The sequence below is a fragment of the Homo sapiens genome, chromosome 15, assembly GCF_000001405.40.
Source record: "Homo sapiens chromosome 15, GRCh38.p14 Primary Assembly".
NCBI classification, from domain to species: Eukaryota; Metazoa; Chordata; class Mammalia; order Primates; family Hominidae; genus Homo; species Homo sapiens.
This window is the reverse complement of record NC_000015.10, coordinates 76,182,433-76,198,345: the sequence shown is the minus strand read 5'-3', so window position 1 is coordinate 76,198,345 and position 15,913 is coordinate 76,182,433. Positions and strand designations below refer to the sequence as shown.

At 52.8% G+C, this 15,913-nt stretch overlaps 1 protein-coding gene across 4 annotated transcripts in view, besides 5 other annotated features; it reads right to left on the bottom strand.

The window, feature by feature from the left end:
- TMEM266 (transmembrane protein 266) overlaps nucleotides 1-15,913 on the bottom strand; it is a 144,979-nt gene that overhangs the window by 6,618 nt on the left and 122,448 nt on the right. For all 4 annotated transcript variants that reach the window (XM_047432151.1, XM_017021915.2, NM_152335.5 and 1 more), the window contains one exon: nucleotides 6,189-6,378. In XM_047432151.1, the coding sequence (XP_047288107.1) occupies nucleotides 6,189-6,378 (190 nt within the window). The remainder of the gene's footprint in view (nucleotides 1-6,188; nucleotides 6,379-15,913) is intronic.
- Nucleotides 587-1,146: an enhancer, noted in NCBI's record as "H3K4me1 hESC enhancer chr15:76489541-76490100 (GRCh37/hg19 assembly coordinates)". NCBI's record gives its function as "activates a minimal SCP1, AML or CMV promoter by ChIP-STARR-seq in naive H9 embryonic stem cells {active_cell/tissue: H9 hESC(naive)}" and the evidence as "EXISTENCE:reporter gene assay evidence [ECO:0000049][PMID:30033119]".
- Nucleotides 1,147-1,706: an enhancer, noted in NCBI's record as "H3K4me1 hESC enhancer chr15:76488981-76489540 (GRCh37/hg19 assembly coordinates)". NCBI's record gives its function as "activates a minimal SCP1, AML or CMV promoter by ChIP-STARR-seq in naive H9 embryonic stem cells {active_cell/tissue: H9 hESC(naive)}" and the evidence as "EXISTENCE:reporter gene assay evidence [ECO:0000049][PMID:30033119]".
- Nucleotides 1,707-2,268: an enhancer, noted in NCBI's record as "H3K4me1 hESC enhancer chr15:76488419-76488980 (GRCh37/hg19 assembly coordinates)". NCBI's record gives its function as "activates a minimal SCP1, AML or CMV promoter by ChIP-STARR-seq in naive H9 embryonic stem cells {active_cell/tissue: H9 hESC(naive)}" and the evidence as "EXISTENCE:reporter gene assay evidence [ECO:0000049][PMID:30033119]".
- Nucleotides 7,245-7,314: an enhancer, noted in NCBI's record as "active region_9876". NCBI's record gives its function as "activates an Ori minimal core promoter by ATAC-STARR-seq in GM12878 lymphoblastoid cells {active_cell/tissue: GM12878}" and the evidence as "EXISTENCE:reporter gene assay evidence [ECO:0000049][PMID:35858748]".
- Nucleotides 8,096-8,249: a silencer, noted in NCBI's record as "fragment chr15:76482438-76482591 (GRCh37/hg19 assembly coordinates)". NCBI's record gives its function as "represses an EF-1alpha promoter that drives an FKBP-Casp9 reporter gene in an ReSE screen in HepG2 liver carcinoma cells {active_cell/tissue: HepG2}" and the evidence as "EXISTENCE:reporter gene assay evidence [ECO:0000049][PMID:32094911]".

Below are 15,913 nucleotides of genomic sequence, written 5' to 3'. Positions count from 1 at the left end.
AGACACACAGGAAGAACCCCCAAGGGACTGTGCTGTGCAGTCCGTGGAGGGGCAGGAAAGAATGGGCACAAACACAGGCTTCAGAACAAAACAGACCCAGGGCCAACCCGGCTCTGCAGGGCACATGCTGTGTGGCCTTAGGTAGATCCCTTAGCCACTCTGAGCTTCAGCTTCTTCATCCATAAAATGGGGATAGCAAATGCCTACTCTGCTGGTGAACTGGAAAGAGTCCCTGAGATCATGAATGTTTAGCCCAGGGCCATCCCTTGCCTCCCTGAACCCCTGGCTCCAAAGTCTCAGTGCTTTCTGTGGCAGCTGCTCTCTGCTGCCTGGCGCCTTTCTTCCCAGGGTGTGAGCACTTTGCAAACCCAACCTGACTAATCCTCCTAAAAGCCCGTCAAGTGCAGCGGTGCCAATGCTCATTATGTGGGTTTTACCCCTTGGGTGGAGCCCCCGACCTGCCCAGCAAGGAGGCAGAGGTGGAGAGAAAGGGTGGTGAGTCAGCTGGGCCAGGCTTCCTGGAGGTGGTGGGGACTGGCCAGGCTGCATGGACTGTGGTGTGGCAGAGGGGCATGGGGCGCCAACCACATGCCCTGTGCAGACCCAGGCCCCAAAGCCCAGGGCAAGGCTCTGATTCCTGGTTTGGGCTCCTGCTCCTAAACTCCAACTTGCTCTTCCATGGCTTGGCAGCCCTCACCAAGGGAGGGCACTAATATTCACTGAGCGCCTACTGTATACAAGGGATGAGAGCTGTGCATATGACTAAATGCTCAATCCTTCTCAGTGAAGAACTTCTACACCTGTTTCATTTTGAAAACACTAAGACTGAGACAGGACCAGCTACATAATTTCTAGGTCCCTTGTTTTAAAAGTATTAAGAATTTCAAGAGGGTAACAGCAGAGCAGTGAACCAAAGTTAGGGCCCTGTGTGACCACACAGGTCATGCATCCATGAAGCCAGCCCTGATCACAGAAGTAACTTGTTCAAAGTCAAGTTGAAATTCAAACCCAGACCTCAGTTCTAAACCCATGTCCCTCCGGTTGCTTCAAATGCTACTTTGCCTGAGGCTCTTTCAGATCTAGTCCTACAGCCCTGGGGTTCCTGGGGTCCCCAGTGTCCCGGTCAGGCCCACACATTTAGAGGCCAGTGGAAAGCCTTGCCTTCATGATCAGCCAGGCCCGCTCCTCTCCAAGGACAAGCACTGGTGCCAGCTCAGCTCCCTCCCCTGGGGCTGCCTGGCAGAGGCTGGCACAGAGCAGGCTGGCCGCATGCACCCCTGCGGCAGTGTCTCTGGATGCTGCAGCAGCGTGGGGGACGCGAAGGTTCCCTGTGATATATGGTGAAATCCGTGGCACTCCCACCAGGGGCTGTAATTCATAAGTTATGGGCGAGCTTCAAGACTAATAAATTTGGGAGAGAAGTATTAATGACTACACAGGGGCACTGTGAACTTGGCAGGCCCCAAAGCCTGGAACTCTGCAGCCTAGGTTTTAAAAATGATTTGTGCTACAGCAAGTCTAAACAGAAGCTGCTTGGCGTTGTCTGACTGTGACCTGCTGGCAACTGTTGAGATTGTGGAGCTGCTTCCTCCTCACGGCTGGGGCTGGCACCCCGCCCTCCTGGGCTGCCCTCCCCCACCCTGCAAAACACACGGCCCTCCCGAGGCTCTGTGACTCACAGCTCATGTCTGTAGGTTAATCCCTGGATTGTCTGTGTCCTGTGCATGAGGTGGGCCTCAGAGCCTCGCTGGCCTGAAGGTCACAGTTAGTTAGCAACAAGCACTGCCCTTACTTCATCTCCAGAGTAGCCTACAGTGCTCTCAGCTTGTCCAGCCATAATTTCTAATGTCATGAAAATCCCTCCCTGGACACAGTTCCTGGTCAAGGAGAGATCAGCTGGGGGATGCCCTGTGTCCCTGGACCATGCGAGGCTGTGAATCATGTGTGTTCCTCGCCAGCCCTGTGTTCTGCCCTTTGCCTTGGAGGCACTGGCTTTGCTGTTGATGCTCTGGGGCTGGCTGTGAAACAATGTGCCTAGGCTGGGGCAGGCAGTATCCACAGAGCCGGGAGGTACCCAGGAGACACCCCAGAAGAAGCAGGGAAGAGTGGGCAGGGGGATCCCAGGGCTGGACGGAGAAGCATCTGCACCTGCTCCCAGGGTGTGTGTCTGGCACCTCTATGGGAGGCCTGGGCCTGCCCTATCCAGATATCCCCTACCTTAGTTTCCAGGAGGGTTAGCAGGGACACTGCAGACCCCGTGACATCCTGCTGGTGACACATAGCCTATCAGTTTCCCCCAAGTGGCCTTCAACTCTGACCTGCTTTCTCCCTTCTGCCCCTGCCTCCCTCCTCCTCCTCCTGGAAGTTGCCCACTATGGGGGCTGCAGAGAGAGGAGGAGCAGGAGGGCCAGGCAGGACTGAAAGCTTCAGAGCACTCCTAGAATGTGCAGGAGTATTTTAAAGGCTTGGTTTCTTTGTGGAACCTCCAAGCCCAGATCTTGGCTCCCCTGTGTGCTCAAATGTGGCATCTGGCGTTCAGGGTCTTATAGGTCATTGGCTGAGGGACAACAAGGGCTGTGCTGTTAGCTCTAAAGCCAATGACCCTGATGAGAGAGACAGAGGAGGTGCTGCGGAGAGCAGCTGTACCGGGAGTGCTTAGACCTGCAGAAAGAACAACACGGGGCAGGCCCAAGCCCCAGGTGAGTTGAGGTGCAGCCTCAAGATGGGCTGTGGGCAGAGCCAGGAGGCTGTCACAGAGGAAGATCCTGAAATGGGCTGAGATGGTAAATCTGCTCCTTTCATCCTTAGGAAGCCAGGCGAAGTGGGCAAAAATTGCTCCCACCTTCCAGAAGAACTTTCAAAAAGAATAAGAAGGTGGATTCCACAAGCACAAGCCTAGAGGCTGAAAGCCAAGAGTGGGGTTTCTGGGGTGGACTACTGCTGACTGGCCTCAGCTCCCAGAGAAGACGCAGGGCTCCACACCAGAACAAGTGATGTCAGACAGCCTTATTTTGTTCTTTGATCAGTTACCGGCTTGAAGATTACATTCAATGCAACAAACTCTATGGAGACCTGACTGAGGCAGGCCCTGAAGTAAGTTTAGAGGGGAGACACACATAAACGCTCCTGGCAGTGGGGCAGGATCCGGACCTGGGAGTCGGTGTAAGGTTGCCAGGGAACGGTGTGGAGATCTGGGAGCTTACTCTAAGATGGGTTCTAAGCATGAAGAGAAGTCTGGTAGGCAGGTTGGGCCATCCCATGAACAGCATGCAGAGACTCAGAAACCGTACAGAACATTTACAGAACTAAAGGTTGTTCCATTCCTCTAGAATGAAAGGCAAGCTGGGGTGGAAGGAGATAAGGCTGGGGAAGCAGCCCGGGGCAAGATCGTCAGGGGTCTTATGTGCCTGCCCCCTCTTAAGGGTTGAATGGGTACCCCCTCTTCATTCACATGTTGAAGCCGTAACCCCTAGTACCTCAGAATGTGGTCTTACTTGGAAAGAAAGCGGTTGCAGATGTCATTAGTTAAGATGAGGTCCTTATATGACTGGGGCCCTTATAAAAAAGGGAAATCTAGACCCAGACATGTGCATAGAGAGGACGCCATGTGCAGATGAAGGCAGAGCAGGGTGATGCTACTGTAAGCCATGGATGCCAAGGATTGCCAGCCGCCACCAGGAGCCAGAGGGAGGCGTGGGACAGATTCTCACTCCCAGCCCCCAGAGGGAAGCAACCGTGCCCAACCTTGATCTCAGGTTCCAGCCCCCAGCACTGTGAGACAATACACTTCTCTAGTTTGTGCTAGCCAGTCTGTGGCATTTTGTTATGGTAGTCCTAGCAAACTAATCCACCAGCCTAAGGGGCGTGGGCTTTCTCCTGAGGGACACAGGGAACCAGGAAAGGTGGAAGTCGGGGAGTGGCATGAAAGATTTTGGAACAATCACGGTATGGTGGGGGAGGGGAGACTGCAGAGGGCAGGGAGCTGGGCAAGGTCCAGACATAACAAAGGCTGAACGATGAAGATGAAGAAGGGGGCTGTTTCAACTAATCAGGAATTGGCGATGGGTTGTGAATCAGGACCTACCAAGCCCTGGAGTAAAGGCAGGAATCAAACAAGCTACAGCTGGACGCTGATGATTGTGAAGTTCTGCACGAGGCTACAAAAAGCCTGTTGCCCAAGGCTGGGCTGCTGGGACACGTGGCTCAGCTGAGCTGTGTGGGGAGCACGTGAGGCTGGGTCAGCTATGAGCTCAGCCAAGTGGTCCCCACAAACTCAGGAGCCTACTGGCTGCATCGTGGGGACCTGGGTCCAGAAAAAAAAAAGCAGTAGTGGCCACCTCAACATTCTGCCCTGGGCTTGCAGCGCCCCAGTAATTGCATTCAGTTGTGGATATTACTCTGAGAGGGACCAAAACGCTGGAGAGCTCTGGGAGGAGGCAGTACATCAAGAACTTGGAGAGCACGTCCCCGAAGATTGGCTGTGGGAATGCAGGTGATGGTCCCTGGAGGAGAAACAATCTCTAAACAGTCTCAGCTGGGATGGCACTGCCTGTGCGTGAAACCCACAGCTGGTGGGGAGGCAGGGGCAGGGGACCAGGCCTCAGTGCAGTCTGAGGAAGAATCTTCTTACAGGCAGAGCCATGTGGAGGTGGGGTGGGTTCCCCAGGGAGGTATGAAGCACTTAGAGGAGGGCGAGCTGAGGCTGCATGGCTCATGGCAGAGAGTTATAGAGGGGATTCTCACATCAGCTGAAGGGCTGGACCCAGAAATCCCCTCTAGCCCCCAAATCCTATGTTTCTAAGATCTGAAGATCTCTCAAAAGAGTGGCTGGACACAGTGGCTCATGCCTATAAACCTAGCACTTTCCATGGCTGAGGCAGGAGGATCCACTTGAGGCCAAGACTTTGAGACCAGCCTGGGCAACATAGCAAGACCCCACCTCTACAAAAATAAAAACATTAATTGGGTGAGATGGTGTACACCTATGATCCCAGCTACTCAGGAGGCTGAGGTGGGAGGATCACTTGAGCCCAGGAGTCTGAGGTGGCAGTGAACTATTATGATACCACTGCACTCCAGGAGTGAGACCCTGTCTCCAAAAAAAAAGCAACCATTCGTTTCCCAAAAGCTGTTTGCAGTGTTGCAGTGCCTTACAGCCCTCAGAGCTTTCTCACACCCATCGGTTCCTCGTAAGTCCTGTGAGGCAGACAGAGCTGGAGTTAAGAGTCCATTTTACAGAAGGGAACACTGAAGCCTCCAGTCATGGAGCTGAGGAGTGGCAGAGGCTGGAGCTCAGGCCTCTTGCCTCCCCAGCTGCTCAGCCTGCCCGGCTGCGTCCTCACTGCCCTGCAGGGGACACGGCATGCCAAGGCAGAGTGGCTCCTGGATGAAGCTGGGGTTTTGGGTCCCACAGCCCGAGTTCCCAGCCCAGTACCACCATTTCCTGGCTTGGGTGGCCCCGTGCAATTCCCGAAACCTCTGAGCCTCGCAGCAGCCCTGTGAGGAAGCCTCAGTACTGCTCCTACTTGACAGCTGGCAAAACTAAGGCCCCAAGAGAGTCCCATCACATAACTGGCTGACAGAAGAGTTGGGATTTGAATCTCGAAATAACTCCCTTCCATACAGGACCCTACCCTGGGCTATCGCTCGTGTTCCCATCTCCACCAACATCACCGTCTCGTGAATTCTCACCGTCTGCAAGGCTCAAGCTCTGGGCTACTGTGGCCCCGGGCCTGGACTTGTTTGGGCCCCAGTAGGTGGTAGTCCAGTAGGAAGCCCCAGACCTCTGTCTGGAAGCCTGGCTCTGCCACTTATTAGCGATGCGCCTTTGGACGGCTTTCCTGGGTCTCGGTTTCTTCAGCCATACAACAGAAAAGTCACACCTCCTCCTCCGGCTACCGCGAGGACAGGGAAGACACCACACACAACGCACGCCAGTGGCCACAGGCATGAAATGGGGACGAGTCATTTCTAGTTTGGGTCGGTGGCTGGACTACATGCTCTCTCCTGGGCTCTGACAGGCAGTACCGAGGCTACTGATCTGAGCGTGTCCCCCAATCACGAGTGAAGGAGGGGCACACACCTGAAAGGAACCCCATCCACTCTGCGCACAGTCCCGGGGCGCGAGAGGGAGGCGAGGGGGATCCCCGGCCGTGACACTCTGGGGCCGGGTGGAGACCCGGGCTTACCTTGCGAGGGCTGCAGCTCCTCCACGACGCTCTCGGCCGCCGTCTCCTCGTCCCACGTGCCGGCCTCCAACACTTTGAAGCGGCTGCGCGGCTGGCTGAGCACGTGCGGGGCCTGGAGCGCCGCTTCGCGCTCGGCAGCCAGGTCCAGGTCCTGCTGCGCCAGGTGCGCGCGCAGCTGCCGGATCTCAAACTGCGGAGGGAGACGGGCAAGGCTGAATCAGCGGCGAGGGGCCGGCGGGGGCCTCCAGCCTGACCTCTGGGCGCTTTGCTCCTGCATGGGGGCGGGGTGGGGAGGACTGGGCTGAGCCTCCCGCAGCTGGATGATTCCTTAGGAATCTCCCAGCATCGCGGTTCGCAAGAGCTTCTTACGGTTGCGGAGCCTTTTCCAACCTGTGCGATCCTGCGTCTCAGGTGCCTTGCAGTCTGGCCCCCATCTCACGGATGCCCGGGAGAGGAAACACAACGTGTTTCCTTTGTGGAAAGGCCACTGGACGGGGAGTCAGGAGCCCTGGGTGCAAATTCAGTTCTAGCTCTTCGCCCAGATGTGTGACCCCAAGGGGTGCTCGACAACATGAAAGCCTCTTTCAGAACAGGAAACCTCAGGACACCCAGGGCCCCCGTCCCAGCCTGGGGGACCCCATCCTGGCGTCACTGCCCGCTGGTCTGAACACTGGCTCGTTTTCTCCACGAGGAGGCACCCAGGACCAGACCGATTCAGTCCAAGCCGTGTGGCTTCCTGGCCCTGTGGCCTTGAGCAAGTCCCGTCACCTCTCCAGCCTAAGTTTCCTTTTCTGTAAAATGGGGTTTTCACCTCTTTGAGGACTTGGGTTGCTTCCTCTTAAGGGCTTTCTCCCAGATGGCGTGGCAGCCTATTTGAATTTCCTGCATTGCACTTATCACCTTCTGATATTATTGTGTATTTAATGTTTTGTTGATTTTACTTTTACGAAGGTAAAGCACACTCACAGCTGAAAGCATTCATGAACAATAGGGTGGCCAGGCAGCAACCTGGCCTTGTAAAAGCTGCACACATTTTAATTTTGTTTTACTTTCTGTTGGGGAAAGCTTCTTGGAAAGGCTTCCAGATACCTCTTGGGTTTGTGGGTGAGATGGCTGTTCACGCGCCAAGGCCTTCATGGGACATCTGGGCCAACGAGGAGTTTAGGTCTGACACTGCAGGTCCCGGCCGCGGGCTCGCGGGAAGGAGAGCCTTCACCGCCACCTAGTGTTCCCCGCACGCCTCGCACCGCTTCTAAACGGAGCGAGTCGGGAGGGCGGACAGAGAAATACCACGCCCGGGCGCCCTGCCTAAGAGGTCACCTACTTACCAATGCCGCGCAAATGCACCTCGCCAGCCCTGACCCCTCAAACTGGGGTGTCAGACTCTCATCGCCAATGCCTCCACGACAGTATCACTTTCACAGGAGTTGCAAAATCAATCTGGTCAAAGCAGGACTCCTCACTGTCTCTCCAAACCTGTTCCTCAAGTGTTTTTATCTCATTTTAGCTGGAGCCAAAAATGCAATCACCTTCCTTGCTTCCTCCCTTTCCCCCACCCCAACATCCCATCCATCCCCCAAGTCCAGCAGCTGTCCCGCCTCCCTCCACCTCCACTGCCAGCTCTGGCCCCTACAGCCGTGGCTTCTGTGTCCCTCTGCCATCACTCCAACAGGACTCAGGGGGACTCTCCCACACCCAGGTCAGATCATGACACTCCTGTCCATAAACCTCGATGGTTCGCCACCCCACCTGGGAGACAGCCCGAGCTCCTTAGCTTTGGCTTACAAAGCACGTGCACCATCTGGCCCTGCCCACCTGACCAACTTGTCTCATCCTCTCTCCCGTGACCTGACCCCAAGACGCAATCCTTCTTCTGGTTCTGTAAAGATACCAAGCATGCGCTGGTCTCAGGGCCGCGTTCTCAGCTGCTTCCTCTGTCCCAGATCACACGGTGGCCCCCCTCAGAGGGGCCTTCCCTGACCCACCACCTAGGGCAGCCCCCCAGGCACTCAGTTGCATCAGCCTATCTGAATTCTCTGCATTGAACTTATCACCTTCTGATATTATTGTGTATTTATTTTAATATTTTGTTGATTTTACTTTTATGAACGTAAAACACATACAACTAAAAGCATTCACCAACAACAGGGTGGCCAGGCAGCAACCTGGCACTGGACAGCCTCCCAATGTCAGTGTCTATAGGTTCGGTCTCTGGGACTGCAGGTTTTCAGCTTCCTGCCTGAGGCTATAATTTTGGTTGCCTCTGTGCTGGGAGTAGGGCAGGGGAATAGGGCAGAGGGTCCCACTTTTAGGGGGAAAGATTTTCATTTAATCCTCATTTTCAGCCCTCCACCTTTCCCCAGGTCCCTGCCTAACCCAGTGCCCACATGCAGAGCCCCCTGGTTCATTTTCTCCCAAGGACAAACCCCTTGACTCTTGCAGGGTGGGGGAGCTCAGTCTCCTGGCCATGCAGGATTTGGGAGGGTGTCTTGGGATCTCAAATATTATGCATGCAGACCTTTAGCCACCCCCACCCAGTGTCAGCTTCACACTACACCCCCTTCCTCCCAGACTCTCAGGGGTTCCGAGGGGAAAAGTACCCCATTTCCCTCACTGTCCTCCTCTGTGAGCACTTTAGTGACACATGCCCCACTCTGTTCAATCAGTTGCCACTTTCTTGTCTAGTCTTCATTTCCCCGCAATTCACTAAAACCTCTTTCCTCTTTGTCCTGATGGACAAGACTTAAAGAGGCCTTCCTTCCTTCCCTCCTTCTTTCCTTCCTTCCTTCCTTCCTCCCTCCCTCCCCTCCTTCTTTCTCTGCTCCCTCTTTCTTTTTTTGAGACAAGATTGTCACGATGGACAGAGACCTACCCTTCCTTCCTCCCTTCCTCCCTTCCTTACTTCCCTCCTTCCCTTCCTCCCTCTCTCCTTTCTCTTTCTCTGTCTTTTTCTTTCTTTCTTTTCTGAGACAAGGTTTTACTCTGTCTGCCACACTAAAGTGCAGTGGCATGATCATAGCTCACTGCAGCCTTGTACTCATGGGTTCAAGTGATCCTCCCACCTCAGCCTCCTGAGTAACTGGGACGACAGGCACATGCCCGGCTAATTTTTTTATTCTTATATTTTGTAGGGACAAGATATATTTTGTAGGGTCTTGCCATGTTGCCCAGACTGGTCTCAAACTTCTGGACTCAAGCAATCCTCCACCTTCCTCAGCCTCCCAAAGTGCTAGGATTACAGGTGTGAGCCACTGTACTTGTCCAAGAGATAGTTTCTTAATTCTTATGCATTTATGATTTTGTTCTTTACTATCATTCCATTGGGGTTTGGGGAAGGAAATCAGATAAATATTTGTGATCATGCTTGATATGGTTTGGCTGTGTCCCCACCCAAATCTCATCTCGAATTGTAGTTCCCATAATCCCCATTTGTCGTGGGAGGGACCCAGTGGGAGGTGATTGAATCTTGGGGGTGGTTACTCCCATGCTTTCTCATGATAGTGAGTGAATTCTCACAAGATCTGATGGTTTAGTTTTTGTTTGTTCGTTTGTTTTTCAGACAGAGTCTTGCTCCGTCACCCGGGCTGGAGTAAATGGCATCATCTCGGCTCACTGAAACCTCTGTCTCGTGGGTTCAAGTGATTCTCCTGCCTCAGCCTCCCAAGTAGCTGGGACTACAGGCATGTGCCACCACGCCCAGCTAATTTTTGTATTTTTAGTAGAGACAGGGTTTCACCGTGTTGGCCAGGCTGGTCTCGAACTCCTGACCTCATGATCTGCCTGCCTCAATCTGATGGCTTTATAAGGGGCTTTTCCCCCTTTTGCTTGACACTTCTCCTTGCTGCTGCCATGTGAAGAAGGACGTGTTTGCTTCCCCTTCTGCCATGATTGTGAGTTTCCTGAGGCCTCCCCAGCTATGCAGAACTGTGACTCAATTAAACCTCTTTCCTTTATAAATTACCCAGTCTTGGGTATGTCTTTATTAGCAGCGTGAAAACAAACCACCATTTTTAAAGGATTATCAGTTACCTCTTGTTCAGCCCCTAGTGGTGTTCCAGTGGGGCGGGGTGGGGGGGGAAGGCATACTCCTAGCATGGCTGATTTCAAGCTACCAACAAGACGCCCTGGGGGAAATGTGCACAATGGGTTCTCGTGAGCAAGTGAGAGCTCCAGCACACCCCTGCCACCCTCCACCCCCAGGAGAATATCATCTGCGAACCAACAGGGGTCTTATCTGTTGTGTTGCCTGGTATGCAAGAAGCACTCAATAAACGTTGCTGAATACATGAACAAATCAATGCAGGAAACCAGTTAGCCTGTTCAACTCCCTGGCTTCAGACTGGGCCCTAAATCCAACCACCAATTGAGCTGCACCCCTGTCCCAAAGTTAAGACAAAGACTGAGGCCTCATGCTGGCTATGCAATGAGCCCTGACCCTGATCACACACTGAGCCCGATGCTGGTCACAGACTCAGCCCTAACTTTGGGCTCACACTGGGCTCAGACACTGAACCTCAACAACCCAGCACTTAAAACACTCAAAGGTGGCTGGAGGGCTCACAGAGTGAGAAAGCGAGGCTAGCTCATTATAGGGCAGCCTTTTTGTGCAGGATGACAGGGTGCAAGCCAACCCTCTGGCAGCAAGGTCTCAGAGGCGACTGAAGGCCCATAAGGCAACCCTCCCAAGCTCTGCTGGGGGAGCCCCTCCTGCCCTGCTGATCTGAACCTCCCATGGGCACACCCAGCCCACTTTCTCCAAGGCCACTCATCGAGGCCTGCAGGCCAGCTAATGGCTTCCTGGCTGCTCTGAAGGGATGCATTATTGATGGCTTGTAATTGATATGGAGCTGCCCAAGAATGTCCCGCTGGAATTCAGGCCAAGACAGCCAGAGGTCAGGGCTTGCCCAGCCCCAGGCCCACATGTGCAGACGTAGGCACATACACAGAAGCAAGTTTCAGCTAAAGAGATGAACTCCAAGTGTGTGGCAGTTCTCACATTCATTCATTCATTCAGTAGGAAGTCAAGTAAACCATGGTGGGGCAATGTTAACCTTCTGTTACAGGTTTTGGAATGAAAATGCCTTTCTCAGCTTGCAGGTAAAACCTGGATAGCCCCAACAAGGCGGGCTGTCAGCTGCATTGCAGGGAACAAGTCGCCTCCGAGAGCCAAGCACAGCCCTGGGCTGGTACTTATGGCAGGGGAGGCATAGTGTGTACAAGGGCCAGAGGGCCAGAAGGTAAGGGGCTGGGGAGCTCAGCTGGGGCCCCACCAGGCAGAGCCTGGAGCCACAGTAAGATGTTTTAAAGAACAACAAGAAACCACTGGAATCCTCCAAACAGAAGGGTGGAGTGGTGGGAGTGGTGGTACACAGTGATCCAGATGGGCATTTTGAAAGGACCATGCTGACCGCAGAATGGAGAACAGATTGGATGGGGCCAGAGTGGATATAGGAATGCCAGGTGGGAGGCTACTGCAGCAGTCCATGCCAGAGACAAGTAGGTAGGGACGAAGGTGGAGAGAGAGATAAGAGGAGGGATAAGAGAATTACCTCGGAGGTGCGATATCAGCACATGGCATGGACTGGAATGGCGGTGAGGGAGAGGACAACCTGCTTAGGGGACAGATTTTGGCAAGCTTCACACCCAGAGGGTGTGGGGTGACTGGAAGCTGTCCATCTTGCCCTGAGAAGGAATGACTGACTCCTCAGAGGGGAAGCACACATGGGCAAAATGGCTGTTGGCCCAGTCACAGGCTGGGACAGCCCAGGGGAACTTCAGGAGGTGCTAGCGGGACCCTCAGAGCTGGGCTCCTGGCTCCTCCTATGCTTATCATGGCCACATGTGCCTCCACAGTGTTTCCCAGGGGCCCTAGGACATTGGGGCCTCATGAGTCAGATGGGGAACTGAGGCCCGGAGGTGGGAAGGAGCCTCCTGTGCTGGGAGGGAGGATGGGGGAAAGGCCAGGACCACATGGTGCTTCAGAAGCAAAGCAGGGGCCACAGCCCACGCCCCTGGCTTCTAGCCCCCAAGACCTTGAGCCAGGGAACTTGCAGCCTTATAAGCAAGATGGAAGTGACTCAGCCCAACAGAATCCAGGGCAGCTTGATGGTAGCAGGGGCCAGGAGAACAGAAAGTCACCAGAGGGAAAAGCAGGGGCTGGAGGCTGAGCTCTTGGCCCATCACCCCTCCCTTGCCCTGACTTTGGGTGAGCCTCTTTTCTTCCCCGGGCCTTGGTTTCACTGTGTGTCCAATAAGGCAAATGGACTCACTGAATTCCAAGTCAATGACGAGCTCTGTACCAGCTCCAGGACCCCACCTGGAGGGAATGAAGTGTAAGTGCAGTTAAGGCTTGCTGCTGTCTTGAGGGCCATCCTCTACTCCCTGCCAAAATGCCCCGTTCCCAGAGAACCATCTCTTCAGAGAAGGATAACAGAATCCACAGCCTCTAAAATGCATCATCAATGATGTGTAGCACACCATGAGAATCATTCATCATGCAAGTAAGCAGAAAAACATGTGGTTATCAAGCCATAAAACAGTTAATAGAAGCTGACCTGGGTAAATATTTGAGTGAACAAACAAGGACTTCAAAATAACTACAATTAATATGTGAACAAAAATAGGGGAGAAAGACAGACAAAATGAGCGTAGTGTTTCAGCAGAGAGTTAGACTCTATAAAAAGAATCAAATCAAACTTTTAGAATCTTGATATACAGTATCTGAAATTGAGTAGTTGGTTGGATGGGTTTAACAGGAGATTGGACGTAGTAGGGTTGTTGAAGACAGGTCTATAGAAAAACATCAAAACTTACAGCCATTAAAAAAGGAGACAGGGAGAGAGAGAGAGAATGAATAGTGGAGCAGAGTAGGATCTAAGAGAAACGTGAGACATAATCAAATGGCCTCAGGTACAACTGGAGCTCCAAGAGGAGACGAATGAGACAGGTGCAATGAATAAAGAAACCATGGCCAAGAACTTCCCAAATCTAATAAAAAACATCAATCCACAAATTTAAGAAACTCCTAAGCAGAATAAATACCAAAAAACCCCACAGAAATCCACACAGAAGCACCTTGCAGTCAAACTGCTGAAAACAGGAAGAAACACAACAGGACGGGGCTCCCCAGGGCTCACACGGGCCTGTGCCTTAGGAAAAGAAGGTGCACAGTGGCTCCGATGAAGCAAATCTTCCATTGGCAAATGGGCCCGGTGGGAAAAAAAGACCATCCCTAGGCTTGGGAAGAATTAAAGTGCAGTCACAGCCCCATTTAGTGCACATCATTAGCTAAGTATTTCTAATCAGATAACCTGCCCAGATCATCTGGGATCCACAGGGAAGCCCGCAGTATGCATTACTGGAGTGAGTCAGGCCCCTTCCATCGGGGCCGGGCTTTTAATGCAAGCCCAGGAGGGGTCAGACCCACCGGGGCGGCAGGACGGGCACACCCAGCGCTTCTCCGCCTTTAATGGTCCGGTTGTGGAGTCCAATTGACACGGGCCTTGTCCTGATCAATGCACACTTTGGCCAGAAGCTCGATGGTATCTAATGCAATAGCAGTAATTCTGCTCCATCCTATTAGTGCTGTCTGCACAGGCTGCCCTGCCTTCAAACCCATCTGCTGTTGGGATAGCATCCAATGTTTATTTCCATTAGTTTCACCGTTGTTGGTAACAATAAAAATCAGGAGACAGTTGCAAACTAATGATTTAGGAGCAGAGTAAAGCTGAGATCGACCTTGGCCCCTTTCCATCCACTGTGAAGATGACTGGTAGTTGGCCATAAATTTAAATTATGGCAAAAGGATAACATAAGTTATTCCTCTGATGGCTGATTTTATCAGCTAAATAGGCTTGTCATTAAAGCTATCGGCTGTTTTACAAATCACTTCCCATCTTAAAAAAAATTTCACTTCCCACAGTGGAGATCCTGAATAATCCAGGTAACAAAGGCTATTGTGCTGAGCTGGGAACTTGTGGCCTCTGTAGGAAAAGAAGGAGCTCTCTGGAATGAGCCAGCCTCAAGCCCCGTCCCTGGAGCCAGCATGGAACCACGGCTTTATTCCTGCTATTCCTGCCCTTTGGCCCCTTTTCTGAGCTGCTAGCCCAGCCTCAAAGGCGAGTGACCTACGCAGAGCCGTTGGCATTCTCTCAGGGGTCCAGAAAACCAGGGGACAATGGGGTCCAGCGAGAGGCCTGGATGGGGAGATGGGCCCTGGCTCCCAATCAGACCACCCACCACCTCCCACGTCTGCTCCGGTTCCTCCACGTGAAAGACAGCGAAGGGGATGGAGGGGGGGCGTGACAGCTTCCTCTCCTCACATCTTCCTCCATCAGAAATGCCTACAGCTTGCAGGGTCAAGATTATCATCTTGTTTCTTCAGGAAAACAGGCCAGGGAGGCATGGCATTCCCCCAGGAAGGACTTTGATAAGTGTGGCTGTGCCGCCTGCTGTGGTGGAACCGGGGAAAGGGTAGGGAATGTTGTGAGCCCATTGGCCTTGTTTTATGGGTTGGGTGACTGTGCAGGCGACTGTTTTCTTCTTGGGCACAAAGACCACTTCTGACAGCATCTGGTGCCCCTAGTTGGTACTGTGCAACTGACTCTTGCCAATAAAACGGGGGCAGAGCAATATCACCATTTTCAGTCCTGGCCAATAAAAACCTGCTGTGCCCAATTCCCCAGCCTCACTTTCCTATCCACTGACTGGAGAAGACTCCGAGGACTTGGAGGAAGAAGGATCGGCCGGGCTTGGTGGCTCCCACCTGTAATCCCTGCACTTTGGGAGGCCGAGGTGGGTGGATCACTTGAGGTCAGGAGTTCGAGACCAGCCTGGCCAACATGGTGAAACCCCATCTCTACTAAAAATACAAAAATTAGCCAGGGGTGGTGACACATGCCTGTAATCCCAGCTACTCGGGAGGTTGAGGCAGGAGAATCGCTTGAACCCAGGAGGCAGAGGTTGCAGTGAGCCGAGATCATGTCACTGCACTCCAGCCTGGGCCACAGAGCGAGACTCCATCTCAAAAAAAAAAAAAAAAAAAAAAAAAAAAAAGCCACAAAATGGAAGCAGCCTGGAGGCCTGAGTGACTTGTGTGGAACAGAGGGTCCCTCCACCCTGCCCCATTGCAACCTGCATTGGAGTATGATGAGAGTGACAAATGTACTCCTCCTGTGTCAGGACTCAGATTTCTGGATTTGCTGGATGCAACAACTGGTGTTACTCACCCTAACTATCAGTGACTCAGGCAGATGCCTCTTTCTGGCGCAGGGAAATGGACACTGAAGCCCTGGGTTTCTTTCCTAGTCCCTCCATGAAAAACTACAGGATCTGGCCAAAGAATAGCCTCTCTGAGCCTCAGTCTTTCCATGTGAAGGGATTAATAGTACCCAGCCTGCCAACTTTCACCAGCAAAGGAAAAATGAGCTAAAACATGACAGTGCATTTGTGAATGAGCAACCATCATATAGATACATTTAGTAGTTTTTTTTGTTTTGTTTTGTTTTGTTTTTTTGTGACTGAGTCTCGCTCTGTCACCCAGGCTGGAGTGCAGTGGCATGATCTCGGCTCACTTTAAGCTCTGCCTCCCAGGTTCATGCCATTCTCCTGCCTCAGCCTCCTGAGTAGCTGGGACCACAGGCACCCGCCACCACACCGGGCTAATTTTTTATATATATTTTTTTTTAGTAGAGACGGGGTTTCACCGTGTTAGCCAGGATGGTCTC